This window comes from Homo sapiens, chromosome 11 (genome assembly GCF_000001405.40).
Source record: "Homo sapiens chromosome 11, GRCh38.p14 Primary Assembly".
Lineage (NCBI taxonomy): Eukaryota > Metazoa > Chordata > Mammalia > Primates > Hominidae > Homo > Homo sapiens.
Genome location: NC_000011.10, coordinates 72,396,366 through 72,422,286, shown reverse-complemented (window position 1 = coordinate 72,422,286; position 25,921 = coordinate 72,396,366). Strand labels below are relative to the sequence as shown.

The window sequence follows — 25,921 nt, the reverse complement described above, 5'->3', positions numbered from 1 at the left end:
TTTTTTTTTTTTTTTTTTTTTGAGACGGAGTCTTGCTCTGTCACCCAGGCTGGAGTGCAGTGGCACAATCTCGACTCACTGCAAGCTCCGCCTCTCGGGTTCACGCCATTCTCCTGCCTCAGCCTCCCAAGTTGCTGGACTACAGGCGCCCGCCACCACGCCCGGCCAATTTTTTGTATTTTTAGTAGAGGTGGGGTTTCACCATGTTAGCCAAGATGGTCTCGATCTCCTGACCTCGTGATCCGCCCGCCTTGGCCTCCCAAAGTGCTGGGATTACAGGCGTGAGCCACCACGCCCGGCCAGTTTCCTAGTGTTCAGAGAAAGCTGAGTCCTTCTGGAAGGGTCCAGATCACACACTGAAACCCTAGGCTTGCTCAAGTAGACCTTGTACCTCTCAAGCAGTTCTACAGAGTGGCGTAGTGCCTGGCTTCTTTTCTGGGGTATGTGGCTTGCTGAGGCTCTGATTGCTTGTTCCCTGGTGATGGAAGGCAATTGGGAAAGGTTGGATTAGCAGCTTCTCTATAACTTCATGGGTAGGTGAGTTGTGGGAGCAGGTGGTCAACTGCCCAGAAGCCCTGCAGAGGCAGGCAGTTGGCCATGAGCAGAGAACAGCCAGGGCCTAACGCAGTGGGCCTGGAGGGAGGGGTCATGTCACTGAAAAGGAGCACAGCCAGCCCTGTGTGGCCTTGGGCTAGTCTCTCAGTTTCCTCGGGGGCCTCCACTGTAAAGTATCTTTGATGATACTTGTCTCATCACTCTCCCAGGATCTTGTGAGCATTCCAGGCAGGTGAGTCCTTGTCTGGAAAATTCCTCATCCTTCGGTCATCACTGTCACATCTTCCTGAAAGCCTTCCCTGATCCCCCAGTGATACGGCTCTGATGAGTGGAGGGACACCAGTGCTCCTGTCTCATGTCGAATTAGATAAGATGACACGGAAACACGTGGATTGGTTTTAAGGAGCAGAGAGTTTAGTAGGGAAGGAGGGGCAAGAAGGAAGGGAGAAGGAAGAAGCTCCCCTGTACAGAGACAGAGGGAGGGGGCTCCAAAGCCAAGAGAGGGAACCCCACCTGCCATGGATACCAGCCAGGTATATACAGAGGCTGGAGGAGGTGGTATCTGATTTGCATAGGACTCAAGGGATTGGTTTGACTAGGTATGTCATTCATGTACCCTGCAAAAAAGCTGGTCCTCCCACCCTAGCATTTTAATATGCAAATGCAGGGCACCATGTCCTGAGTAGCTGGGATTACAGGCATGCGCCACCACACCCGGCTAATTTTGTATTTTTAGTACATATGGGGTTTCTCCATGTTGGCCAGGCTGGTCCCGAACTCCCGACCTCTGGTGATCCGCCCGCCTTGGCCTCCCAAAGTGCTGGGATTACAGGCGTGAGCCACTGCGTTCTGCTGGGTAGACCCAGTTTTTTTAATGGCCTTCATTTGTATATCAAAGGTTGCCGACTGGCTCTAAGAACGGGGCTTTACCAGAAACTTCTGGAGATGCTTTAAAAAACGAAAATTTCCCAAGGACCTCTCCCTCTCTTATCTGCCTGAAATAGTTTCTTAATAACTCCTACAACACCAGTATCTGTGGATTCCCATAGCACCCTGTACTATATAAGTGAGAGCACTTACCACCTTCTGTTGGGATGGGTTATCTGTTTCCTTCTCTCCCTCACAACACTGTGAGTTTTGGAGGGCAGCAGACCATTGCTGTGTTGTTCATCACTGTGCATGTAAATAGTTACCAAATACTCACTGAATATTATTGAAAGTTTTTTTTTTTTTCCCCTGAGATGGAGTCTTGCTCTGTTGCCCAGGCTGGAGTGCAGTGGCACAATCTCGGCTCACTGCAACCTCTGCCTCCTGGGTTCAAGCCATTCTCCTGCCTCAGCCTCCCGAGTAGCTGGGATTACAGGCGACAGCTACTGCGCCCAGCTAATTTTTGTATTTTTAGTAGAGACGGAGTTTCACCATGTTGGCTGGTCTTGAACTCCTGACCTCTTGATCCGCCCACCTCGGCCTCCTAAAGTACTGGGATTACAGGCGTGAGCCACCATGCCCAGCCATTGAAAGCGTTTTGTGTTTTTGTTTGTTTGTTTATTTAATTGAGACAAGATCTCATCATGTTGCACAGGCTGGTCTTGAACTCCTGGGCTCAAGCAGTCCTGCCTTGGTCTCCCAAAGTGCTGGGATTACAGGTGTGAGCCACCACGCCTGGCTAAAAGTGTTTTGTAAATGATAAAAATTAAGCAAACTGTGTAGCTATTACAGTCATAATAAACCTGTAGACAGAGGACAAACAAAAATGAAGTAGTTCAATCGTTTATTCATTAAACAAATAGTGCCTACTATGTGTGGCACTGTGCTTGGTAGATCAGTAGTCAGACATGTACAGGATTTGCCTCATGGAGCTCAAAGCCTTGTCAGACGTGAATCCTACAAATGCGAAATGACAACTAGTACAAATGCTGCAAAGGAAGGACACAGAGAATCAGGAGAGCCTGTGACAGCCAGATTTCCCCTGGTCAGAGGAAGCTTGAGCTTGGAATTGAAGGATAAGGAAGAGTTTATCTAGGTGGAAAAGGTTGGGAAGAGCTCTCTAGCACAAGGAACTTTTATTTACAAGAATCCTGCATGAGGAGGAAGCAAGGCCAGTGTGAAGGACTGAAAAAGGCCAATGGTACTCCAGCTAGAGGAAGGTGCCAGGAGCCTAGAACAAGCAGACCCTACAGGGCATCAGAGGCCACATGAAGAAGCTTTGTCTTTATTTTTATGGCAGTGGCAGCTGAGATGGGTTGAGAGGGGATCAATATGATCAGTAGCCATTCTGATGGCTGAGGAACATGAGGAACTAATGTGAGTGCCTTCCTGCTTGTATGTGCCAGGCATCATCTTGGGCATGGTCCTGCCTCTTGAGGCAGTGTAGGCCACAAAGCTGTAATCGCTCAGGGCCTAACAGCAGGGGCAGTTGTCAGGCTCTGCCTCCCTACCATCATTTATGTCGCCCAAGTGCTATCTCTCCTCTAAAATCCCAGCTTAATCAAAATCATAACGCAATTCATGTCAGCACCGCCAGAACCAACTGGAATTTTTCTCCCAAGGAATTTTCCTGGAAACTGAGGAACAGAGATGAATCTAAGAATATTGAAAACAATCAAGCCAGTGTGTTACTGGGCTTCTAATATTCACTTAAGCTGCTTGCCTTGTACTTCCTGTTCTGTGTCTGCCTTTTTGAAAAAACCTCAGAAAATTTCAGTTTCTGAACTTTGAGGCTCTACTATGTCCTGCCTCCTTTGTGTTCCTCCCTTCTGAGCAAGAGCCCTAGGCCCAAAGTCCTTCTAAGGCAATCAGTCGTCCTCTCCTTGTGATTCTGTCAATGGATGCAAATACAAGTGGATTTCTTTTCTTTTCTTTTTTTTTTTTTTTTTTGGAGATGGAGTCTCACTCTGTCACCAGGGTGGAGTGCAGTGGTACGATCTCAGCTCATTACAACCTCTGACTCCTGGGTTCAAGCGATTCTCCTGGCTCAGCCTCCAGAGTAGCTGGGATTACAGGTGTGTGCCACCACACCCGGCTAATTTTTGTATTTTTAGTAGAGACAGGGTTTCGCCATGTTGGCCAGGCTGGTCTTGAACTCCTGACCTCGTGATCCTCCCGCCTCAGCCTCCCAAAGTGCTGGGATTACAGGCATGAGCCACTGCACCTGGCCTTCAAGTGGATTTCTTATCATTAGCAGGAAGCAGTGGTGAGGACTTTGGAGTCTGACAAAACAAGGCTTGAATCCTGGCTGTGACCATTGGTTAGTTCTGTGACCTTGGAAAAGTTGTCTAACATCTTTAACCTTAGATTCTTCATCTGCAAAGTAGGGATGATAATTGACCTGCCTCACACCATTGCTGTGTCATGTTTACTGATTCATCTCTTCACTTTTCTCTTCAGTTGCTTCTTATGTATTTCTCCTGACCTAGGCTGTGAGCCCTGTCACAGCAAGGTGTATGGCACCTCCTTCTCCTGCCTTCACCGTAGTAAGTCACACAAGGCTGGCTGGCACTCAGAAGACACATGGTACAGATGGAGTCTGGCCCGTTGATTGATTGGTTGATAGAAACCTTGTTTATTCTCCAAAGGCTAACCAGCAGGAGAGCACAGCCCTAGGCAGCAGCTGGGCAGGCTGACTGGTCTCCAGGATCCTCCATTCATGTGGATGGAAGGCTCAGGAAGGCTGCATAAGAATCCTCTTTGAGGCTGGGCTGAGGCTTCCATCTCAATGCCCTTTTGTTTGAAGGGATAGCACCCAGGCCTCCTGCGAAGCCTGTGTGTTTGACCAGCCTTTGCAGATGGACAGTGTACTGGGGCAGGATGTAAAGCACAAACAATTGAGGGAGGCCCCCGGAATTCCCAAGGGCTCAAGAGTCCAGCAGGGGTGGGGAGGGGCAGGATCCTTCCCAGGACACATCAGGGGCTCAGTCACAACCCCTAGATGGGTCACACAGGATCTCAGGCACTTTTGTCTCCAGCCTCATTTCCTTTCCAGTATTCAGGTCCCCACTTTAGCTTCTCTGATGGTCAACATCCAGCCCTCTTTGGGTGCCTCTAGGTATGAGGCACTCTCTGCCTCCTGAAGAATAGGCAGATTCTGACTGAATATACATTCATTCTTTTTTCTTTTGAGGTATAATTCACATACCATAAAATTCAACCTTTAAAAATATACAATTTAGTGGATTTTAGAACATTTATAAGATTGTGCAACCAGCACCACTAATTCCAGAATGTTCTATCACTCTCCCACCCCACCCCGGACCCTCAGAAAACTCTGGTTCCAATAGTAGTTACTCCCCATTCTCCTCTCCCCCTAGATGTTGCAACCACTAATCTGCTTTCTGTTTCTGGATTTGCCTGTTCTGAACATTTCATATAAATGGAATTATACAATATGTGGCCTTTTGTGTCTGGCTTCTTTCACTGAGCTTAATGTTTTCAAGGTTCATCTATGTTGTAGCATATATCAGTACTTTATTCCTTTTTGTGGCTGAATAATATTCCCTGTATGGATGTACTACATTTTATTGGATGTACATCCATACAGGATGTCATTTGTCAGTTGATGGACATTTGTGTTTCCACTTTTTAGCTATTATGAATAATGCTGCTGTGAACATTCGTGTACAGATTTCTATGTGAATGTATGTTTTCATGTCTCTTCAGTGTATACCTAGGAGTGGAATTGCTGGGCCATAGAGTAACTGTACATTTAACATTTTGAGGAACTGCCCAACCATTTTCCAGGGTGGCTTCACCATTTTACATTCCCAAAAGCAACGTGTGAGGGTTCTACCTTTTCCACATCCTCACCAACAATTGTTGTCATCAGTGTTGTCATCACTTACAGCAAACCTAGTGTGTGTGGAGTGGTATCTCATTGTGGTTTTGATTTGCATTTCCCTAATGGCTAATGATGTGAGCATCTTTTTATGTGCTTATTGGCCATTTCTGTATCTTCTTTGGCATTTATTCATTCTTTTTTCTTTTTTTTTTTTTTTTTTTTGAGACGGAGTCTTGCTCTGTCATCCAGGCTGGAATGCAGTGGCGCGATCTTGGCTCAATCCAACCTCTGCCTCCCGGGTTCAAGCGATTCTTCTGCCTCAGCCTCCCAAGTAGCTGGGATTACAGGCACGTGCCACCATGCCTGGCTAATTTTTGTATTTTTGGTAGAGACGGGGTTTCACTATGTTGGCCAGGCTTGTCTCGAACTCCTGACCTCAGGTGATCTGCCTGCCTCAGCCTCCCAAAGTGCTGAGATTACAGGTGTGAGCCACCGCACCCAGCCATTCTTTGGCATTTATTCATTCTTAAGGCCTGTTATGAGCAATTTCTTATTAGGCATTGAGGGGGAGAAAAATGTATCATGATGACCTTTGTCTTTCAAGGAACTTGCGGTCTGGTAAGAGAATTGTAGTTAGTACAGGTGAAAAGTTAGGGCTTCACAGGCAAGGTGGCCTTTAGTTTGGGTCTGGAGATAGGTCGTATTTGTATACAAGGAGCTTTGCAGAAAGACTTTCTGGGCAGTTGGAGTAATGTAAGTAAAGACAATTTGTAATTAGTAGTAGAAAACAGTTTTATCTTCTGATGAGCTCTGAAGCAATAGTGTGAAAGCACCTGGCATAGCACTTGGCACATGATGGGCTGTCATTATGTGTTAGCTCCCTTTGCAACTCCCCTCACTTGGTCCCAGCTCTGTCTTCTAGGACTACATGGCTTCCTTTTCCTGTTCCAGATTTTTAACTCTTAGGAGACAGAGCTCCAAGCTATATGAGCCTTGGTTCCCTAAACTGTGGTTTCAAGTCTCCTCCTCATCCTAGTCATTTTAAAATGAAACAGCTAGAAAGTTTTGGTGCCCTCTCTGAATTCCAGTGTGGCATGACCATTATTGTGAGGAGCAGGGCAACCATCCCCTTTGTTAAAGATTTTATACTTCTATTAATATGGCCCGACCTTGCATTGGCTTTCTTGGCAGCTGCGTTACACTCCTAGGTTCTGTTAAGCTTGTAATCGGCCCAGCCTTCTGAGATCCATGACTTCTTCTGTCCTGTAACCCTTTGATTGGATTTGTTTGCAGAGCTTGTTTTAACCTAAAGGTAAGGACACTTTAAGGCTTTGTATTTGCTTGTGAATTTGTAATATTTGAAATGTGAATATGTACTATGTGAAAGTAGTGGTGGTGGTATGGAGACTACCAGAAAGAAGAAAGGATAGGCTTGGAATGTTCTCAGCATGCGACTAGAAGGAACTAGAACTTCCAAGAGAGAAGGTTCTAGGAAGCTTCAGGACTAAACAGAAAGTATCTTCACCCCTCAAGTAAACTCCTTTCCACTTGAGGCTTTTCCTTATTTTCTGTCAGCTGATTGGTCCCATCAGACAACTATGGTGTGCTGACGCATGCTAAATCTGGGAAAGAAGGGAAGAATTGGGCATATGAGCCCTGGAAGGCAGTGTGGCTCCATAGAGCTTGGGCTTCATCCCCGGCTGCTACTTATTGGCCTTGTAATCTTTCTTTTTCTTTTTTTTTGAGACGGAGTCTCACTCTGTCGCCAGGCTGGAGTGCAGTGGTGCGATCTTGGCTTACTGCAACCCACGCCTCCCGGGTTCAAGTGATTCTCCTGCCTCAGCCTCCTGAGTAGCTGGGATTACAGGTGCCTGCCACCATGCCTGGCTAATTTTTGTATTTTTAGTAGAGATAGGGTTTCACCATGTTGGTCAGGCTGGTCTTCAACCTCTGACCTTGTGATCCACCCACCTCGGCCTCTCAAAGTACTGGGATTACAGGCGTGAACCACCGTTCCCAGCCTGGCCTTGTAATCTTAATCAGTCATTTACCCTCTGTAAGACTTGGGCTTCTTTCAGAGGATCAAATGAGATCATAAATGTCAAGTATCTGTTGCGTAGTAGGCAGCTCAAGAAATGTGAGCTCTTTTGAACTCCATCATTCAAGAGCTTTGCAAGGCGGTGAGTTGTGCTCCCTGAGCCTGTGTAAACATCTCTGAGCACCTGTGATACTTAGTGCACTTATTTGTGCGCTTGTTTCATTTTCCCTCCTCCAGCTCAGAATAAGAGCTCCTTGTAGGCAAGATTCATGTCTGATTGACTTCGGTGTCTGTCAATGCCCAACACAGAGGCTAGCTTGGAGATGTTACTTCAGTTTTGTTGAGTGAGTGAAGGCCACACCTTTGCCCGAGGAGGCCAGGTTTTATGGTTGGCTTTTCATTGTCTCTTCTTTACTGGAAATTTTGTGAGATTCCTGAACTTCACAGAAGGTGGCTCAAGTACCAACACTGTTTCACTGTTTGAGAAATTTGAACCACTTTTGTGTCTCACTGCTGTAGTGTGACAGGTTTCCTGGCAGCCAGCCAGGAGGCCTGCTGTGGGGCCAGTAGGTGGCGCCTATGACCCTTTCCCACACCTCAGGTCCTGCACAGGCCTTTCCTTCTCACCACCACAGCTGCTGACTCTCTGGGAAATGCATATATTAATAGCTCTGGGCAGGGGTACCCAGATGAAGGTGCTTTGGGCCACTCCCTCCTGTTTATGGCCTTGTATTGTTGGACTTCCGTGTTTTATTCAGTCTCAGCCTTGGCACACACTGCCTGGGGAAGCAAAGATGTTTGCTATAGAGGATCCCAGAAGGTCACTCTGGGAATCTGTGCTTCTGGCCCATCCTTTCTGGCACACTCTGCCTCTAGGAAGTCATCCCTGTGGCTCTCTTGCTCTGACCTGTACTCTCATGGCACCTTCCTCTAGGGTCCTTGCTTGTATTTTAGCTGTTTGCCCAGTGTGTAGCTGTCCAGTGAATGCTTTGAAGGCAAGGATACCACAGAATTCATCACAGTACCCTGAGTGCCCTGCTCAGAGTCCTGTAATAACCAGTCCTCAGGAAGAGTTTATGGAACGAATGGATGCATAATAAGTAGTACCTCAAAAATTGTTATCCACATTGAAGGGTATTCTACAAACAAACTAGCCTTACTCTGCAAAAAATGTCAATATCATGAAAATCAAAGAAAGGTTGAAGAACTATCCTAGATGAAATTGAAACATATGCAGTGTTTGGTCCTGATATTGATCCTGGCTTTCATCTGGATCACAGGGGGAGATTGCTATAATGAATATTGGGATAATTGAAGAAATTTGAATGTGGGCTGTATATCAGATAAAAATAGTATATCAATGTTAAATGTTCTGAATTTTATCATCATTAGTTAGTGGTTCTGTAAGAGAATGCTCTGGTACTAGGTACGAGATGCATGTACCAATGTATCTGGTATATGCTCGATGAAGTATTTGGAGGTAAAGGGGCATAGTATCTGAAATTAGTTCTCACATGGTCCAGCAAAAAAAAATAGAAAAGGAATAGAAAAGCAAATGAAACAAAATGTAAACAGGATATGAGTGAAGGCTATTTATTTATTTGTTTTTTTGTCTTTGTTTTTTTTTTTCGAGACGGATTTTCGCTTTGGTTGCCCAGGCTGGAGTGCAATAGCACGATCTCGGCTCACTGCAGCCTCCGCCTCCAGGGTTCAAGCGATTCTCCTGCCTCAGCCTCCCGAGTAGCTGGGATTACAGGCATGTGCCACCATGCCCGGCTAATTTTGTATTTTTTAGTAGAGACGGGGTTTCTCCATGTTGGTCAGGCTGGTCTCGAACTCCCGACCTCAGGTGACTCGCCTGCCTTGGCCTCCCAAAGTGCTGGGATTACAGGCCTGAGCCACCGCACCTGGCATGAAGGCTGTTTGAAGGGGTGTGTGTGTGTGTGTGTGATTTTTGTAACTGTTCTATAAGTTTGAAATTATTTCAAAATAAAAAGTTAAAAAATAATCTGAGCACTTTAATGTGGGCCAAGTTTCTGTAAGAGAGATGGGACAAAGAATGATCACCCAGTGTTGCACTTTATTCAGTTGATCCAGCAAGTATTCACTGAGGTTGTGATTCAGCTCCTCCACTGTGTGCCTCAACAAACAGAACAAGTGTAATAATAGCAACTAAGATTTGGAAAATGTAAGTGCCCTCACAAACATTATTTCCTTTGGTCATCTCAGCACCCATGTTAGGTAGGGCTGACAGGCTGATAGGGTAAGATGACTGAGGTTCAGAGAGGGTAGTGTGATCTGCCCACAGTCACACAGCCTGGAAGAGACAGACAGAGGCAGGCTCATATATAGATCAGTCTTTTCCAAAGGGGACGCTTTCTGAGCCTCCCTATCTGTGTGTGTAAAAGGAAGATTTGGACTGATTAATCTCTGCAGATCATTCTTTAAGTTCAGAAATTTTAAAGTTTTCTGTGATAGGAAATAGCCAGCTATGAAACATGCAGACACATTCCACAGTACACTTGGCATTTGTGGTAGGTACTGCATACCTGCCAGCCTCTCCCCTCCCTCACTGCTCTCACTCCCTTGGAGTTCTCCAGGCATGACAGAATGCTCAGTGGGCCATCTCACTGGGAGTGAGAGCATCTGGAGAGCTTCCTCACGGAAGGGTCCCCAGCTAGGCCTTGGAGAAGGGTGCTCAGTTCAAGTAGCAAATGCAGAAGTTGCTGGAGAGGCCTTGTCTATGGAGTTGAAGCACCAAGACCCTGCCTGAAGTCTGCTGTCCCAGGCTGGGGGGTCTATGAGCAGCCTTTGCTCCCTTGCCCTGCCCCTCCCAGCCCTGGCTGGCAGGCTAGATAAGGCACAGATGGAGGCTGCCTGGGGATTCTGGCCCCAGGCACCTTGCCTCTGCTCAGACAGCAGGGCCTGGTGCTGTTATTACTGTAAACAGGGCCTTCTGTGAGGCTCCAGCCAGGGCCCTGTTGCCCAGATAGCAATCATGATTGGGTCTGCATGGCTCAGTGCTTCCAGGCCTCTGATGCAGGTGGGATAGGGCTCCCTACCCTTCAGCCCCTCCCCAGCTGCAGCTGAGGGCTGGTTCATGTGAAGGATCCGGAAATCAGTTGGAACAATGCGTCATTGAAGTTCAGTGGCCGCTTTGTATTGATTGGTCCTAAAGAAAGAGGAAGAAAAATCAAGTGGTACCTCCCTCCCCTGAGTGGAAGAGCTAGTTAGCCAGAATAACTCAAAGCTGCCCCTGTGTCCCTTTCTGGGACTCTTTCCCTCCCTCCCACAAACAGAGCCTGGGGAGTTGTCTTTTCGTTGGAAGTCTTGCTGAGTGCAGCGTCTGCTAGGAATCTACTCAATTTTCATTTTGATGCTACACATATTTAGAATTATAACATTATAGAGCTGGTAGGGACTTCAGAAATAATTTCATTCATTTCCTTCTTTTACTGCAGATAAAAGTAAGGACCACAAAGACATTTATTGTGGTCACATAGCTAGTAAGTGATAGAGCCATGACTGGAATTTGTGACCTGTAGCCCCTAGGCCTGTATCCACAAATGTCCTCAGCCCTGAGACTGAGAAGCTGCACTCACACCCTCCTACATATACATAGAAGCCTAAGTTCTTCGAAAAAGACAAGCTTACAGTTATAAAACAGGTAACTTCCAGCACCAGACAGAAGTATTGGTGAGAAGTTAATGTAGGTAAGTGCTGTAGACATTCATTCATTCAGACCCCGAGCTTTGTGGTGTGCCAACTGCCATGGCAGGCACCTGGAGCAAAGAGATGAAGGCAAGTCCTTGTTTCTAGAAGGACATGCTTGCCTACTGGGGAAGTTAGACCTGTGGACTGTATGATAACTACATTGATACAGGTTAGCACAGGGGATTGTGGTGGCAACAAGGTCATCTTAGGGAAGGCTTCTTAAAGTATAGGACTTTTTTTTTTCCTAAGAAAGTTTTATTTTAAAAAAGAGTAATAGTATGGTCATTGTTATAAAAACAGCACAACTTCAAACAATACAGAGGTACTCACAGCAGAAAGAGAAAGCTTGACTGCTTCATTGCCCCTTCCCCAATCAGTGGTAATAGCTGTTACCTCTTTGGTCTTTAGCCTGCTGGACTCTCCAGGATCACTGATGGATGGGAGCAGGATATGTTTTTCCCGACTGATTTGTCCTTCTGTGGTAATCTTCAGCTCTTGGGCTAGGGAACCTTCCCTTTCCTGCTGCTGCCCTTGCCTGGGAATTTTAGACAGTTCATTTATCTATCCTCCAGTAATTTGGAGCACTTACTGTGTTCCAAGTTCTGTGTATACCTTTTCCTGTATCATCCTAGTTACTCTGTCACTTCTTTAAAATCGAGTGAACACAAATTGGAAAGTGATAAGAATAGTATAAGCTCTTCTTATGCTATTTTGTACAGTGCTTTATTGCATCCCAAGTATTTTTACATATTTTTTCTCACTGTCTCTTCATAGCACCCCTATGTGACATATATAGTAGGGTTGGTGAGGTGTTCTCCATTTTTTTTTAACAGATGCAGAAACAGGCTTAGAGAGCAGGAGCTATCATGTAAATGAAGGAAGCAGTTGAGATTCAGAGAGGCTAAGTCATTCATTCATCCACCACTCCTCACTTAGTAAGTAACAGAGCCTGGATTTGTTTGTTTTGTTTTTTTTGAGATGGAGTTCTGCTCTTGTTGCCTAGGCTGGGGTACAGTGGCACGATCTTGGCTTACTGCAGCCTCTGCTTCCTGGGCTCAAGTGATTCTCCTGCTTCAGCCTCCTGAGTAGCTTGGATTACAGGTACTGGCCACCATGCCAGGCTAATTTTTTATATTTTTAATAGAGATGGGGTTTTACCATGTTGGCCAGGCTGGTCTCAAACTCCTGACCTCAGGTGATCCACCCGCCAGAGCCTGGATTTTTTTTTTTTTATACGGAGTCTCACTGTCACCCAGGTCGGAGTGCAGTGGCACAATCCCGGCTCACTGCAACCTCCGCCACCTGGGTTCAAGCGATTCTCCTGCCTCAGCCTCCGGAGTAGCTGGGATTACAGGCGTGCGCCACCACGCCCAGCTAATTTTGTATATTTAGTAGAGACGGGGTTTTACCACATTAGCCAGGCTGATCTCGAACTCCCAACCCCAGGTAATCCACCCGCCTCCGTCTTCCAAAGTGCTGGGATTACAGGTGTGAGCCACTGCACCTGGCCCCCAGAACCTGGATTTGAAACGAGATCTTTGCTGCTGATTTTTCTGACCCACTCTACTGCCTGAGAGTTGTGCAAGAGCTTGGATTCAACTCTGGACTTTTTTTTTGTTTTTGACATGGAGCCTCTCTCTGTTGCCCAGGCTGTAGTGCAGTAGCATAATCTCAGCTCTCTGCAACCTCTGTCTCCCGAGTTCAAGTGATTGTCATACGTCAGCCACCCGAGTAGCTGGGATTACAGGTGCCCGACACCACGCCCGGCTAATTTTTGTATTTTTAGTAGAGATGGGGTTTCGCCTTGTTGGCTGGGCTGGTCTCGAACTCCTGACCTTAGGTGGTCTGTTCACCTCGGCCTCTCAAAGTGCTGGGATTACAGGTGTGAGCCACCATGCGTGGCTTCAACTCTGGACTTCTAATGCGGTCTACTCTGTGTCTACCACCCTGGGCAATCCCCAGATAGGGGTCACCTACTGCTGCCCTGCCAAGCAGGAGACCTAGTTCATTAGGGAAGGGCCTTCCACAAGTCTGGAGTGAGCCCAGAAAGGCCCACTATGCCCACCCTGCCTCTCTAGCCCCTGGACACAGGCTGTTCTGCCCTGAGTGGCAGCCTGAATTAAGCATTCTACTCATCATCTCAGGGATGATGGAATCCTAACCTTTTCAGAGACACCGTACTCTGTCACAAGCATTGCTCTTTTTAAAAGAGATTAATTCACTTGCCACATTTTGCCCATTGGTGAAAATCACAGGGGAGAGCAAGGGTGGCTTTCTCAGGCCTCAAACGCCCTTTCAGCCTCTCTCAGCGGGCAGCCCGCCGCCTAGCTGGCCCAGGACTTTGAAATGACTGCCCACTGTGCATTCACTTGCAGAGCAACACAGTGAAATGCAGGAGACCTGGTTTGTAAAATTCCAACTTTCTGGGCTGCTCTGCACTGAGGGGAGGCAGGGGAGGGGCCTACCCAGCTCTTTCAGAGTTACTTGTGGTTGGGTTCTCTTGTGGTCTTTTCTTTTCTTTTTTTTTTTTTTTTTTTTTGAGACAGAGTCTTGCCCTGTCACCCGGGCTGGAGTGCAGTGGCGCAATCTTGGCTCACTGCAACCTCCGCCTCCTGGGTTCAAGTGATTCTCCTGCCTCAGCCTCCCGAGTAGCTGGGATTACAGGTGTGTGCCACCACACCCGGCTAATTTTTTGTATTTTTAGTAGAGACAGGGTTTCACCGTGTCAGCCAGGATGGTCTTGATCTCCTGACCTCATGATCCACTCACCTTGGCCTCCCAAAGTGTTGGGATTACAGGCATGAGCCACCGCACCCAGCCCGGTTCTTTCTTGATCTACCAGGTGCCACCACTCCTTACGAAATTCTGTTTTAATCCTTACGACCACCTTGCACAAGAGGGATTAATATCTTCCATTTCACAGCTAGTAAGTGACAGAGCTAGAATCTGAACTCCAGCCTTTGGACTCCAGGGTCATTGCTTTTTTTCCATTATACCTCAGCCCCAAGAGACTGCAAAGAATGATGCTCAGTCAAGAAGCTGGGCAGGGCTGAATGCTGGAGTCTCACTGAAGAACACCAAGATTTCCTCCTCTGAATGGCCCCTCAGGTTTGTAGAGCCCTTTCCTTTATATTTCGGTGCTGCCTCCTAAAACTCCTATGACACTGGGAGGATTGTGATCCTCATTGGACCTATGAAGAGACAAAGCTTAGCCAGATGATGTGCCTTCCTTTAGGATGTTAGAATAGTAGGTGGCAGAGGCTGGGCGCGGTGGCTCATGCCTGTAATCCCAGCACTTTGGGAGGCTGAGGCGGGTGGATCACAAGGTCAGGAGATCAAGACCATCCTGGCTAATACGGTGAAACCCCGTCTCTGCTAAAAAATACAAAAAATTAGCTGGGCGTGGTGGCAGGCACCTGTAGGCCCAGCTACTTGGGAGGCTGAGGCAGGAGAATGGCGTGAACTCGGGAGGCGGAGCTTGCAGTGAGCCGAGATCGTGCCACTGCACTCCAGCCTGGGCGACAGAACGAGACTCCATCTCAAAAAAAAAAAAAAATAGTAGGTGGCAGAGCTAGAGCTAGAACCCAGGTCTCCTGACTCTCCTGTATGTTCTTTCATTGAAATGATAGCAGGTTTAGAGAAGTGCCTCTTCCAGGAGTTCTATGATAGCAGGTTTAGAGAAATGCCTCTTCCAGGAGTTCTTCCTCTTAAAATAGAAAACCCTGCAATATACAGAAGAGAAAATCCCGAAATGCAAACATGCGTATAACAAATAGCTCAAAATTGTTAGTCATCAGAGACATGCAAGATAAAACAATAATATAATAGCCCTTTACACCCACCCATTAGACTGGCAGTGATTAGAAAGCTGGCTATGGCCAAGTGTTGACAGGAAGAGGGATACACAGGCACACCTCTGTCCTGCTTGTGGAAGGGTCAGTGGGGCAGCTATTCAGAAGAGGACCTTGGCACTATTTAGTCAAATCAACTATGCACATACTGTAGGACCCAGTGATTTCACTCCAAGTACATGCCACAGGGAAATGCTCACATAGGTCCAAAAGGGGACATAGGAGAGGATGTTCTGTGAGCATTGTTTTTGGTGGCTGGGAGATAGAGGCTCCCTGGGCGGGTATGCCTGGGAGAGCAGAGAAAGAAAATGTGGACACACACCGTGGGGAGTTATGCAACAGTTAAAAACAATGGAGTTATTGCATACTTAGCAATATGAGTATACTTAAAACAGAATTTTCTGTGAAAAAAGTTGTAAGCAGAATTTTATACACATACACACACACACGTACCTACACACACCCATGTATATGTATTTATAAAAGAAGGAAGGAGGGAAGGAAAAGAAGAGATAGATCTTGCCTGGCTCAGGTCTTGGAAAGCAAGAACCTCTCTCTCTGTCTCCTCCCCAGTAGCCAGCAAGAGGCTGGGCACAGAGTGGGTGTGTGCACATGTTTGCTGAATGAATGAACAAAGTGCCTAGAGCCAGCTTTGCTGAATTATCCAGGTCATCCTGTGTGATCACATCTTAGAATCCCTGGGTATTAGCCAACCTGCCACTACCAGCTTGAGAGTGCAACACTTTGTTCCATCAAAATGATGGAAGTGAGATAGGATAGTAGGGTCTGTATTGAATACCTGCTATATGCCAAGGCTGGGATCTTGCAACTTAGAGATTATTATCCCAGAGGTCAGAAGACTGAAAATTAGTGTTGATTTGCTTAGAGTTATCTAGCTAGATCAGAATTCAAATCGGGGTCTGACTTACTCCAATGCCCTTTATTCATCCATTTCTTTTTATTAGACTGCACTCGGCCCTTCAGGGGCAGTAGGAGGAGGCATTTCAATCTTCTTTCTTCAGCCCTACCTCTAGAGCAACGCTGCTTCCACAATTTTCAGGGTCCAGGCAGGGGAACATGGGTCATTGTTCCCTTGGAGGCATGAGGGATTTTGGTCACTCTGAGTTTATCCTAGCTGCACCCTCCTTTCTCATTTTCCTGCCCAAGCTCCTCTCCCAAGGTCTGTATTACACCTCCAAACTGGTCTTCTTATCCCCATTTTGTACTCTTCGCCCTTCAAATTCAGCCTGCTTAGTGATTAGGTTAATTTTATAATTTCTTTTGTCCCAAAACCTTGAATGGACAACCTCACTGCCTTTGGTGGGAAGCTAAGGAATGGCAACTAGGTTTTCTCTCTGTTGCTAACTTCAGTGGATTGATGGTGGCTGATTGGAACCTATTTTGAAGAGGATTCTTTTTTTTTTTTTGAGACAGAGTCTCACTCTGTCGCCCGGGCTGGCGTGCAGTGGTGTGATCTCAGCTCACTGCAAGCTCCGCCTCCCAGGTTCACACCATTCTCCTGCCTCAGTCTCTTGAGTAGCTGGGACTACACGTGCCTGCCACCACGCCCGGCTAATTTTTTGTATTTTTAGTAGAGATGCGGTTTCACCGTGTTAGCCAGGATGGTCTCGATCTCCTGACCTCGTGATCCACCTGCCTTGGCCTCCTAAAGTGCTGGGATTACAGATGTGAGCCACCGTGCCCGGCCTTGAAGAGGATTCTGAGGCTCTTTCAAAGGCTCCACAGCAAGAACTGCTGGGAGAGATGTGTGATATCCCTCTTAGACGTGGGAGCACAGGACAGTAGCATGCATGCCAGGAATCTGTCAAACCTTTAGACTGAGCTTTTATCCTAGGGTCCATTACTGATTTCATGGGGGCTGCGAACACCTGATCATTATATGTAAAAAAAATGTTTTTGAGAGTGTATGCTCCTATGCACTTTTCTGGAAGAAATTTGATCGTAGTCACAAAAGAGCCCATATCTCAGAAAGGTTTATGCCCACTGCCTTAGCCTCCTAGTCTGACATTCGAGGTCTTGTGTTGGCTGTGCATGCCTCAGCAGCTGTCTGTTTCTCTGCTGTGAACTGTCACCCAGATGGAGCTGCCTAATGATCTCTGAATGTTCCTTTCCTGCTTCGCAGTCATACCCTGTTTCTTGCCTTGATTGACGTGCACTTCCTTCCACTTCTCTAAACTCTTCCCCTTCTTCAAGACACAATTCAAGTTTGTGCCGTCAGAAGCCTCTGATTTTCTTCAGCCTATCCTGATTTTCTAGCCTCTTGGACTGAGGGTCAGAGAAGCGAGGCCATCCCATCAGGATCATAGTTAGGATCAGAACCATGCGCTCTCTACCATATCACGTGGCCTGCTAAACAAGGAGAAGAGGTTTTTGTAAATTAGACAGGGTTCTTAGCGTCTTTAACATTCTTGGCCATAGAAAATTGTTTCTGCATAAAAGAAGTGTAACATTATGTATAGTAAGGGACCTTCACCAGAGTAAATCCTCCAAACTAGAGGTAAGAAAGGAATGTTTCCTAACCTCTCTTAATACTCTTCCCTCACATGTTGTACCCCAGTCATACCAAACATCTTAGGGGGTCTCATATACCCTGGGTCTGCTCCAGGTGAAGAGGACTGCGTCTACCTGGAACACTCCTTCCCCTCCCTCACCTGCTTTTGTTTGGCCAGTTCCCCTTTATCAGCACCTCCTCAGAGAGGCCTTTTTGGCCACTGAGACTGGGTTAAGTTTCCTTGTAGTGCACCTGCAACCCATAGTCCCATTCATATCACTCATGAGATGTGCAGTTCTGTTCTGTCTCCCCCTTGGGCTTTGACAGTGCCTTCGAAAGTATTTGAGAGAAGCCTTAGTACATGATGTTTCTCATCATCCTCTCAAGCCTTAGTTACCTGCTAACATCAGCAACACAGATTTTATTTGACTTGGTCTGTAGGGACATTTACTATAGATCGTGGCACAAGAATGGTGCTAGGATTCAAACCCAAGCCTTTGACTCTCTGCCCTTTGGCTAGAACCCACTGAAAAACAGCCTCCTAGCTTCCCAAACCCCTCCTCCCTTTCTTGGCACTGTGTTCTTTGATATGCTGTCTTGAGCCATGTCTTCTCCTCACCCTCATCCAGAATCTAGCAGGGGACCAAGTGCATGTCATACTGATTCACTGACATCAGTGTAGTGTTTGTCTTTCATGTTATCTAGAGCCAGGTTCTGTCTGGAGGAAGGGTGGTGAGGTGAGAAGGAGCCTGGCTGTAGAGTCACTGCCAACCAGTCACTGCACTGCCCCTTAACTAGCTGCGTGACCTTAAGGAAGTCATTTCACCTCAGTGAGCCTGTTACCTTATCCCTGAAAAGAGGCGATTACTCTTAGGTCCTTAGGTGGTGTTGAGAGTACATGGAATCATGAATGTAAAGTACTTGGGGTAGTTCCTGCTTGTAGAAGGTGCTCAGTAAGAGTTCATTCTATTTACCCACCCCTACATTGTTGGTCCTTTTGTCCTGGGAGCAAAAATTCAGACTTTTAGTGGGATACTTTAAATTCTGTGTTTGTTAATTTATTTAATAATTATTGAGCTTCTACAATGTGTTAGGCACTGGCATATAGATTCTGGTAGGGTCTGTGTGGACTCTCCTAGGAACCTAATCTATTGTTTCCATCTTTCCTTGAGTTGAAGGATTTTCAATTTCCAAACAACCACAGTACAGATAAACTTGAGGAATATGATCATTTTGTGAACTGAGAACTACCTAGATAAGACATGTCATTAGGCATTCTGTTCCTAGCATTGGGAAATTAAGGAAGGAATTGCTGTGGACTGGATGAGTTAAGGAAGGCTTCCTTCTCAGGAGTCCACGAGCCACAAGGATTGTATTAAATAGCATGAGAGGAGAATTCAAATAGGCAAAGGAGCCGGGAGAGAGCATTCTGGACCAAGGGAGTGACAGTGTCAGAGTATTAAGTTAGGGAGGGACCATTCTTTTCTCAAAGGGTTTGGAAGATAATAAGGGGGACAGACTGATTTAAGGGAAGGAGAGAGGTAGGGAAAGTCTTGATGGGACAGAATGGCCAGAGGAGCTGAAATTGGGAATGTAGTCCTCAAAGGCCTCTATTTCCTGACTCATTCAGGCTCTGTTTGTTGACTATGTCATTTCTTCTATGGTTGTTTCTACTTTTACATCCATGATAAGCCATACACTGAAAATATTCCTCTGTCTTGTTTTAGGCTGTTGTCAGAAGGTGCAGATGTCAAGCCATACACTGAAAATATTCCTCTGTCTTGTTTTAGGCTGTTGTCAGAAGGTGCAGATGTCAATGCAAAGCACAGACTTGGCTGGACAGCACTCATGGTGGCAGCCATCAACCGAAACAACAGGTGAGAGACCACCTTCCACACAGGGCTCCTTTAGGCAGATCTCTGCAGACTGTGCTCCTGAGCACTCTCCCACCTGGTGTGCCTCCCTGCTGTCTTTTCCAGAGGCAGGAAGATAGATTCAGACTGAGGTACTGGACTTCACCTGGTGCATTGGACTGTATAGTAGCTGTGGACCAGAAAGATGTAGCCTTGAATCCCAGCTCCCTCAGTCATTGGCTTTGTGACCTTAGGCACGTCATTTGCATTGTTGTAGCAACCAAATGTTTGGAAGCCTGTTGTAATTGGTTGTGTTTATAGGTGCAAATTATTGTAATGTTCTGTTACCTACCATCTGTTGACCTTGAGAAGTCTGCAGTTACTGTCCCCAGTGAGTGCTCCTCCAGGGGCTTTTTCTTTGGAAGTTCTGATGGAAACTAAGAAAGATGGGGGCTTCTTTCCCTCCCATTGGAGGCTGTGCTATTTTCCTGCCCCCTCCCCCATCCTATCAGGGTTGTAGCTATTGTATAAAGATTGAAATAGTTTACTTTGTGTAGTGAGTTATCTAATTCTCACAATCACTCCACAAAATATATATTATGCTCATTTTGTAGCTCAGAAAACTGAAACCCAAAGAGATAAAGTGATTTATTTATGTCACATGGACAGGATTTAGAACCTGGTCTGGCTGCCTGAAAGGTCTGTGTTTTTGGGTTTTGGGGTTTTTTTGAGATACAGTCTTGCTTGGTCACCCAGGCTGGAGTGCAGTGGTACGATCTATGGCTCGCTGCAGCCCCAGCCTCCTGGGTTCAAGCGATCCACCCACCTCACCCTCCTGAGTAGCTAGGACTACAGGTATGCACCATCACACTGGGCTAATTTTTTTTTTTTTTTTAAAGATAGGGGTCTCACTGTGCTATCCAGGTTGGTCTTGAACTCCTGGCCTCCAAGTGCTCCTGCACCCTCAGCCTACCAAAGTGTTGGGATGACAGGCGTGAGCCACTGTGCCCAGCCATGATCTGTGTTTTTTACTTTATCTCACTGCTACCTCCCGATGCCAGATACCAGCCTAGTGCTGATGCTGCCTTTCCATTTCAGTCTGTTCTGATTTCTGCCTTGGAGTCTGTATAATTCTGGAAGTGCTGGGATGAAGTACACATTTGCTCTAGCTATGATTGTGCGAAAGAATTAAGAGCAAAAAGGGATACTTTCAAAGAAAGCAGAGTGGGCACTTTAGTAACAGCCATTGAAATTGATAGTTGGAGGTACCAATTTCAGTTCTTTCTGCAAGTAGGTGTTTAAGGTGTACTGGCCACCTGTGAAAGGATTATAAATGTGAAAGAACAAATGTAACTGGGATTTTATAATCTAGAGGTGGTACTGCCTCAGACTGACTGAGAGACTTAGCTGTACATGAGATAGGTCTCTCTTCTCTGCTCCTTTGTTGTGGACTTGTTCTTAGTCACTCGGTTTCCTGATTTGCTCTCTTTAGCTCCAAGCACCTATTCTTTTTTCTTTTTTCTTTTACTATTTATTTATTTATTTTTTTGAGACGGAGTCTCACTCTGTTGCCAGGCTGGAGTGCAGTGGCGCGATCTTGGATCACTGCAACCCTCCACCTCCCAGGTTCAAGCAATTCCACTGCCTCAGCCTCCCGAGTAGCTGGGACTACAGGCGCACACCACCACACCCAGCTAATTTTTTTTGTATTTTTAGTAGAGATGGGGTTTCACCATGTTGGCCAGAATGGTATCGATCTCCTGACCTTGTGATCCACCCGCCTTGGCCTCCCAAAGTGCTGGGATTACAGGCGTGAGCCACCATGTCTGGCGCACCTATTCTTTAAAAGCAAAATTGATATAAATAGGCTTCGTAGTTGAGAGACCTAGAGTCCAGTCCTGGTTCCAAGCCTTAACTGAATTTCAGAACTCCATGGACAGCCTGTTTCTTCATCAGAAATTAATTATTTCTATGAACATTAGGTAAATATCTGCCTTGAGCCAGGCCCTGTGCTAGTGTTTGCAGAATCCGAGACCTTGGGGAGTTTGCAGTCTAATGGGGAAAACAAATGCAGGTAAGGAGACATAGTATAGTATGATCAGTGATTTCAGAGCAGTATGTATGGGATACCCTCGAAGCAAAGGGTGTGAGGGGACTCAATGTGGCAGCATAGTAGATCCTCACCATATTCTTTGGAGAATCAAATAAGGTAATGTATGTGCTACAGGTTATAAAGGTGGGTTGTTAGTCCCTGATGCCCCCATTAGATCTCTGTACACAAACACATGTGTTATTCTACACCGCTGGTACTTCACCACATGCACCAGTCTTTTCCCCCAGCTTGTAGCTGTTTCCCTCTGCAAGAAATAGCCAGTGGTGCTAAAGAAGGAGAGGTGGAGAGGTGTGTTCCCTTCTGTGTGTAGTATTTTCAAGGTTGAGACTGAATAGGAAACAACACGATGCTTAAAAATACTGTCAATTAGTGATCAGATGGCTAGTAGATATGCTTTTGGGGACACATCTCTTTGAATCTAATGAGTTGTTGGCTTAACTGATTGCTCTGTCTTTATCCAGAGCTGTTAGCAAATCAGTGATGCTTGTTGAGCAAAGTGAGAGTGTTGGCTTATATTTACTTGCTTTGGTTCCTAGGACTAATTATCCATTTTGTGACCTTCTCTTCCACTATCCAGGGAGGACAGATTTTTACTGAAAATAGCACACTCTTGGGTTGGATTTATGTATTCATATCGCAGAATTTTTTTTTGGCCCCTACTGTTTGCCAGGTACTGTTCTATGTACTTGAAATAATGTTGATGAAAAACAAAGATCCCTGCCCACATAGAGCTTATTTCTGTATTAGTTGTGGTCCTTTGGTAGAGAAAGATGTGGATAGACAATAAACAATGAGTATAATGGATGCGTAAACTATTTAATATATTAGAAGATAAGTGCCGTGGGAAAAAGGAAAAGTAGAACTTGTTAAAAAGGGAGTACCAGGAGTACATTGGTCAGGGTGAGTAGGCCTCATTGTTAAGGTGCCCTGTGAGTAGTCTTGGAGGATTAGCATATCCATACCAGCACAATCTGCCAATAAGTTTTTCCTTATTAGAAATATACTGATTTTCATATAATCAATCTCCAAATCCTTCCAGAATCATATTGGTCAGGCCTGAAATGCTACCACCTTTGAATTAGATTTCGATGAAGGGAAGATAGAGGGGGAGCACCCTTGATTCAAGGCTGAAAGCAGAGAACCTTCACCTCCTTCACCTCCTTTAGGATGTAGGCAGCCACAAGCTCAAGAGAGAGATCCTCGGAGTAGCCCAATCATTTCACCCTGATGCTGCTTAATAATATGTTAAGTCTTTAGGGATATAGAATACAATAGTCTCTGTCCTTAAGGAGCTTAATGTCTTATGAATTTCTAGGTCTGTATGTACATTTTATTTGGTTTTGAATAGGAAATAACAGTGCTATAGAACTACACTTTAAAAATATGCACAATAATTTAATTTATAATTTATTTTCTCCTTTTATTTCCAAAAAGAGTTTGAAGTGACTTAAAATACAAATATAAATATACACAGGAGAGGGAAAACTGGATCAAGATCAGAAATCATATTGGTTAAAGGAAAGATAATTGTATAAAGATTGAACCAGAGATTCTCTTTTCTGAAAATAGATTTATTGTTTTTGTAAAAATCATACATAAAATAGTAGTCACCTGAATTCCCTTTATCTGGAAATTGATTGTTATATATATGTTTATGTACAAATTTAACATGAATGGGACCATGCTGTATTTACTGTAAATTAAGTAATTAGGGAAATTGAGTATTAATTTAGATTGAAGTTTCCTGATAGGGCAAAAAAGGGATACAGAGAGTTATATCTTTATGTATTATATATATTTATGGTTTTATATATATAAAATATATATTATCATTATGTATATTCAGCAAACATATTTAAAAACTCTGTGGTGTCAGGTGCTAATGTGCTAGGCTATCAGGGATTCAGAGAATAAGCAGTCACAGCTTTTGCCTTAAGAAGCTTACTTGGACTGCCGACATCCAGGACTTGAGTAATGTGATGGCCATTGTCTTCAGTAGCCGTGCTGCCAAAGCTTTACCAACATTCTACTAGGACAATCCTTTTGCCAGCCCTAGTAACAGCTTGGGTATAGTATTGACTCAAGGAACAGTCATTGGGGTCTGGCCCCTTCTCCACAGTTAGCCCTCTATAAGCCTCATGCCACAAGGCACTTGTTTAGCCTGAGTCTGGGTGTCTCATTCTATATTGCACTCTGACCCAGTCCAGCTAAAGGCTAAGCCACAGGGTCCCAGAATGATCACTGTGACTTAGCGTAGCCTTCACCGGCTTGTGCAAATATACACAGCCTTCAGCTAAATTCAATTAGTTTTTCTTTAAGAAGGAAAAGAAATCCAATTTTACCAAACACGGACAGACGGTGGAAGGCACTTTGATGTTACAACCTCTCGGTGATGCTTTACTTAGTCACAAGTTCATAAGCAAGAAGGCTTAATTACTTGGGAAAACACAGGATTAAAACTGGACACAATGGCTGAGTATCCGCTCTCGGGCGACTTGATTCGAACCCATGCACCCAGTTCGTGTGTGGTGCAAACTTTGATGTGTTCTATGACAGGCTGAAAGTCATGACCCCCTTGGGGAAGCTCCTTCAGATGGCATTTGCAGGATGTGTAGGCGGAGAGGCAGGGCCTGCCAGGCCTGTTTGCTCAACTTTGATGTCCAAGCAGCCACAGGCCCCACTATTTGCTCTTCCACTGAGGGATGGATTGGGAGCCTCCTACCTTTCCCAGTGAACAATGGCCAGCAATGGAGTGTGACGACTGTTGACCATTCCAGAAGTCTGGTGGACCAGAACAGGGCTTTGGGAGGTGCAGAGCCTGGGGGGCCAAAAGCTGTTCATAGGACAGTCATTTCTCCAGATGTAGCTTTCCTTAAAGCTCTGGTATTGTTAGGTGCTTGCAATGGAGATAAAAATAGTCTCATGAGTTTTAGCACGGTTTAAGTACTTCTTGGCCCTCTGTTCCAGCAGCACTAAGATGTTTGTAAATTAGAAGTTTAAGTTGTTCCTAGTCCCTTAATTAGAGTATATGTGCAGAGGATAGTGGTTTAGAAGAAAAATTGTAAGACTTAGATTCTTATAATTTCTAATTCATAAAAAAGGAGCTGTAAAAACATGTATCTTATAAAGCAGTAGTACCCAGAACATATAAAGAAGTCTTACAAATCAATAATAAAAAAAATCTAATTTTTTTAAATGGGCAAAATATTTTAGCAGATGCTTCATCGAAAAAGAGATGGGTGGCAAATAAGCACATGAAAACATACTCAGTGCAAATTCAAGTCACAATGAGATACCACTACATACCTGCTACAGTAGCTAAAATTTAGGAAAACTGACAATACTAAGGGCTGACAAGGATACAGAACAATATTGATACATCACTGATAGGAATGCATAATGGTATAGCCACATTGGAAAACACTTTGGCAGTTTCTTATAAAGGTAAAGTATACATTTACCATACCACAGAGCAATAGCAACTCCTAGGTATTTGTCTAAGAGAAATAAAAATGTACGTCTGCAAAAATACCTGTATGTAAATATTTATAGCAGCTTTATTCATGACCACCAAAAACTGGATATAATGCAATGTCCATCAACTGGTGAATGGACCAACAAATTGTGGTATATCCATACGGTAAAAACAGCCAAACAAACAATGACAACAACAAAAGCACCATGCTAAGCTAAAACCAACACAAAAAGCTACCTGCTCTGTAATTCCATGTATATGACATTCTGGAGAAGACAGAACTTTAGGGGCAGAAATCAGATTGGTGGTTGCCAGTGTTTGGGAATGGGAAGAGAATATAAAGGAACTTTTTGGGATGATGGAGAAATATTCTGTATCCTGATTATCATGCTGGTTACATGAATGTATATAATTATCAAAATTCATTAAATTATATATCTTAAAAAGGATGAATTTTACTCTGTGTAAATGTGATACTTCAGTAAACTGACTTTAAACACTTTTTAAAAAGCTGTCATCCCTCTCTAATTTTCATTATTAATTGTGACCAGTGGCATACTGAGAATTTGTATTAGTAGTATCAAAATTAATTCATATTGTTAATGGTCACCTGGAATGTTTTGAATTCTTATTGTTGATGATATCTCACATTAGAGTGATATGCATTCTGATTTTTAGTAGGGAATGAAGATTTGTCAATTCATACTATCAGTGATGTAATGAAGTATAATTACTGATGAATAGTGATAAATTCACTTTATGAGTAGTGTACAGTGGACTTGTATAAATTCATAAAGTATATGATTCTTCATTCCAGCAAGGAGAAAGTTGAGGTTACAGACTGGGAGCTTGCCTCTCCCACACTATTCTTGGGTTCCTTATCTCTGGACTCTCATGCAGGGACACCACCTATATAGTGAGGCCGTTGTGGTGCTTCAGGAACCAAAGATCCTGAAAAGGGAGGCTGGTGTGGGGAGATTTTGATTTCATCCTGCTTGGGCTTGGTGGTGGCTTTTGCAAGCCTTTGCCTCGGAGA

At 45.0% G+C, this 25,921-nt stretch overlaps 1 protein-coding gene across 8 annotated transcripts in view, besides 9 other annotated features; it reads left to right on the top strand.

Annotated features, from left to right (window-relative positions):
* CLPB (ClpB family mitochondrial disaggregase) overlaps positions 1-25,921 on the top strand; it is a 149,037-nt gene that overhangs the window by 12,245 nt on the left and 110,871 nt on the right. For 3 of the 8 annotated variants that reach the window (NM_001258392.3, NM_030813.6, XM_011545289.3), the window contains exon 3: positions 19,235-19,321. The exons of 2 other annotated variants lie outside the window; for them this stretch is intronic. In NM_001258392.3, coding sequence (NP_001245321.1) covers positions 19,235-19,321 — 87 coding nt within the window. Of the gene's footprint in view, positions 1-11,914; positions 12,017-14,082; positions 14,190-19,234; positions 19,322-25,921 lie in introns of all 8 variants that reach the window. 3 more of the 8 variants (XM_047427655.1, NM_001258394.3, XM_047427656.1) reach the window with 2 other exon arrangements.
* Positions 314-1,513: an enhancer, noted in NCBI's record as "CDK7 strongly-dependent group 2 enhancer chr11:72131818-72133017 (GRCh37/hg19 assembly coordinates)". NCBI's record gives its function as "activates an origin of replication core promoter dependent on BRD2, BRD4, P300/CBP, MED14 and CDK7 cofactors, with strong dependence on CDK7, by STARR-seq in HCT116 cells {active_cell/tissue: HCT116}" and the evidence as "EXISTENCE:reporter gene assay evidence [ECO:0000049][PMID:35650434]".
* Positions 2,196-2,882: an enhancer, noted in NCBI's record as "H3K27ac hESC enhancer chr11:72130449-72131135 (GRCh37/hg19 assembly coordinates)". NCBI's record gives its function as "activates a minimal SCP1, AML or CMV promoter by ChIP-STARR-seq in primed H9 embryonic stem cells {active_cell/tissue: H9 hESC(primed)}" and the evidence as "EXISTENCE:reporter gene assay evidence [ECO:0000049][PMID:30033119]".
* Positions 2,883-3,570: an enhancer, noted in NCBI's record as "H3K27ac hESC enhancer chr11:72129761-72130448 (GRCh37/hg19 assembly coordinates)". NCBI's record gives its function as "activates a minimal SCP1, AML or CMV promoter by ChIP-STARR-seq in primed H9 embryonic stem cells {active_cell/tissue: H9 hESC(primed)}" and the evidence as "EXISTENCE:reporter gene assay evidence [ECO:0000049][PMID:30033119]".
* Positions 3,571-4,258: an enhancer, noted in NCBI's record as "NANOG-H3K27ac hESC enhancer chr11:72129073-72129760 (GRCh37/hg19 assembly coordinates)". NCBI's record gives its function as "activates a minimal SCP1, AML or CMV promoter by ChIP-STARR-seq in naive H9 embryonic stem cells {active_cell/tissue: H9 hESC(naive)}" and the evidence as "EXISTENCE:reporter gene assay evidence [ECO:0000049][PMID:30033119]".
* Positions 8,012-8,121: an enhancer, noted in NCBI's record as "active region_5190". NCBI's record gives its function as "activates an Ori minimal core promoter by ATAC-STARR-seq in GM12878 lymphoblastoid cells {active_cell/tissue: GM12878}" and the evidence as "EXISTENCE:reporter gene assay evidence [ECO:0000049][PMID:35858748]".
* Positions 8,172-8,221: an enhancer, noted in NCBI's record as "active region_5189". NCBI's record gives its function as "activates an Ori minimal core promoter by ATAC-STARR-seq in GM12878 lymphoblastoid cells {active_cell/tissue: GM12878}" and the evidence as "EXISTENCE:reporter gene assay evidence [ECO:0000049][PMID:35858748]".
* Positions 10,173-10,262: an enhancer, noted in NCBI's record as "active region_5188". NCBI's record gives its function as "activates an Ori minimal core promoter by ATAC-STARR-seq in GM12878 lymphoblastoid cells {active_cell/tissue: GM12878}" and the evidence as "EXISTENCE:reporter gene assay evidence [ECO:0000049][PMID:35858748]".
* Positions 10,313-10,372: an enhancer, noted in NCBI's record as "active region_5187". NCBI's record gives its function as "activates an Ori minimal core promoter by ATAC-STARR-seq in GM12878 lymphoblastoid cells {active_cell/tissue: GM12878}" and the evidence as "EXISTENCE:reporter gene assay evidence [ECO:0000049][PMID:35858748]".
* Positions 10,443-10,522: an enhancer, noted in NCBI's record as "active region_5186". NCBI's record gives its function as "activates an Ori minimal core promoter by ATAC-STARR-seq in GM12878 lymphoblastoid cells {active_cell/tissue: GM12878}" and the evidence as "EXISTENCE:reporter gene assay evidence [ECO:0000049][PMID:35858748]".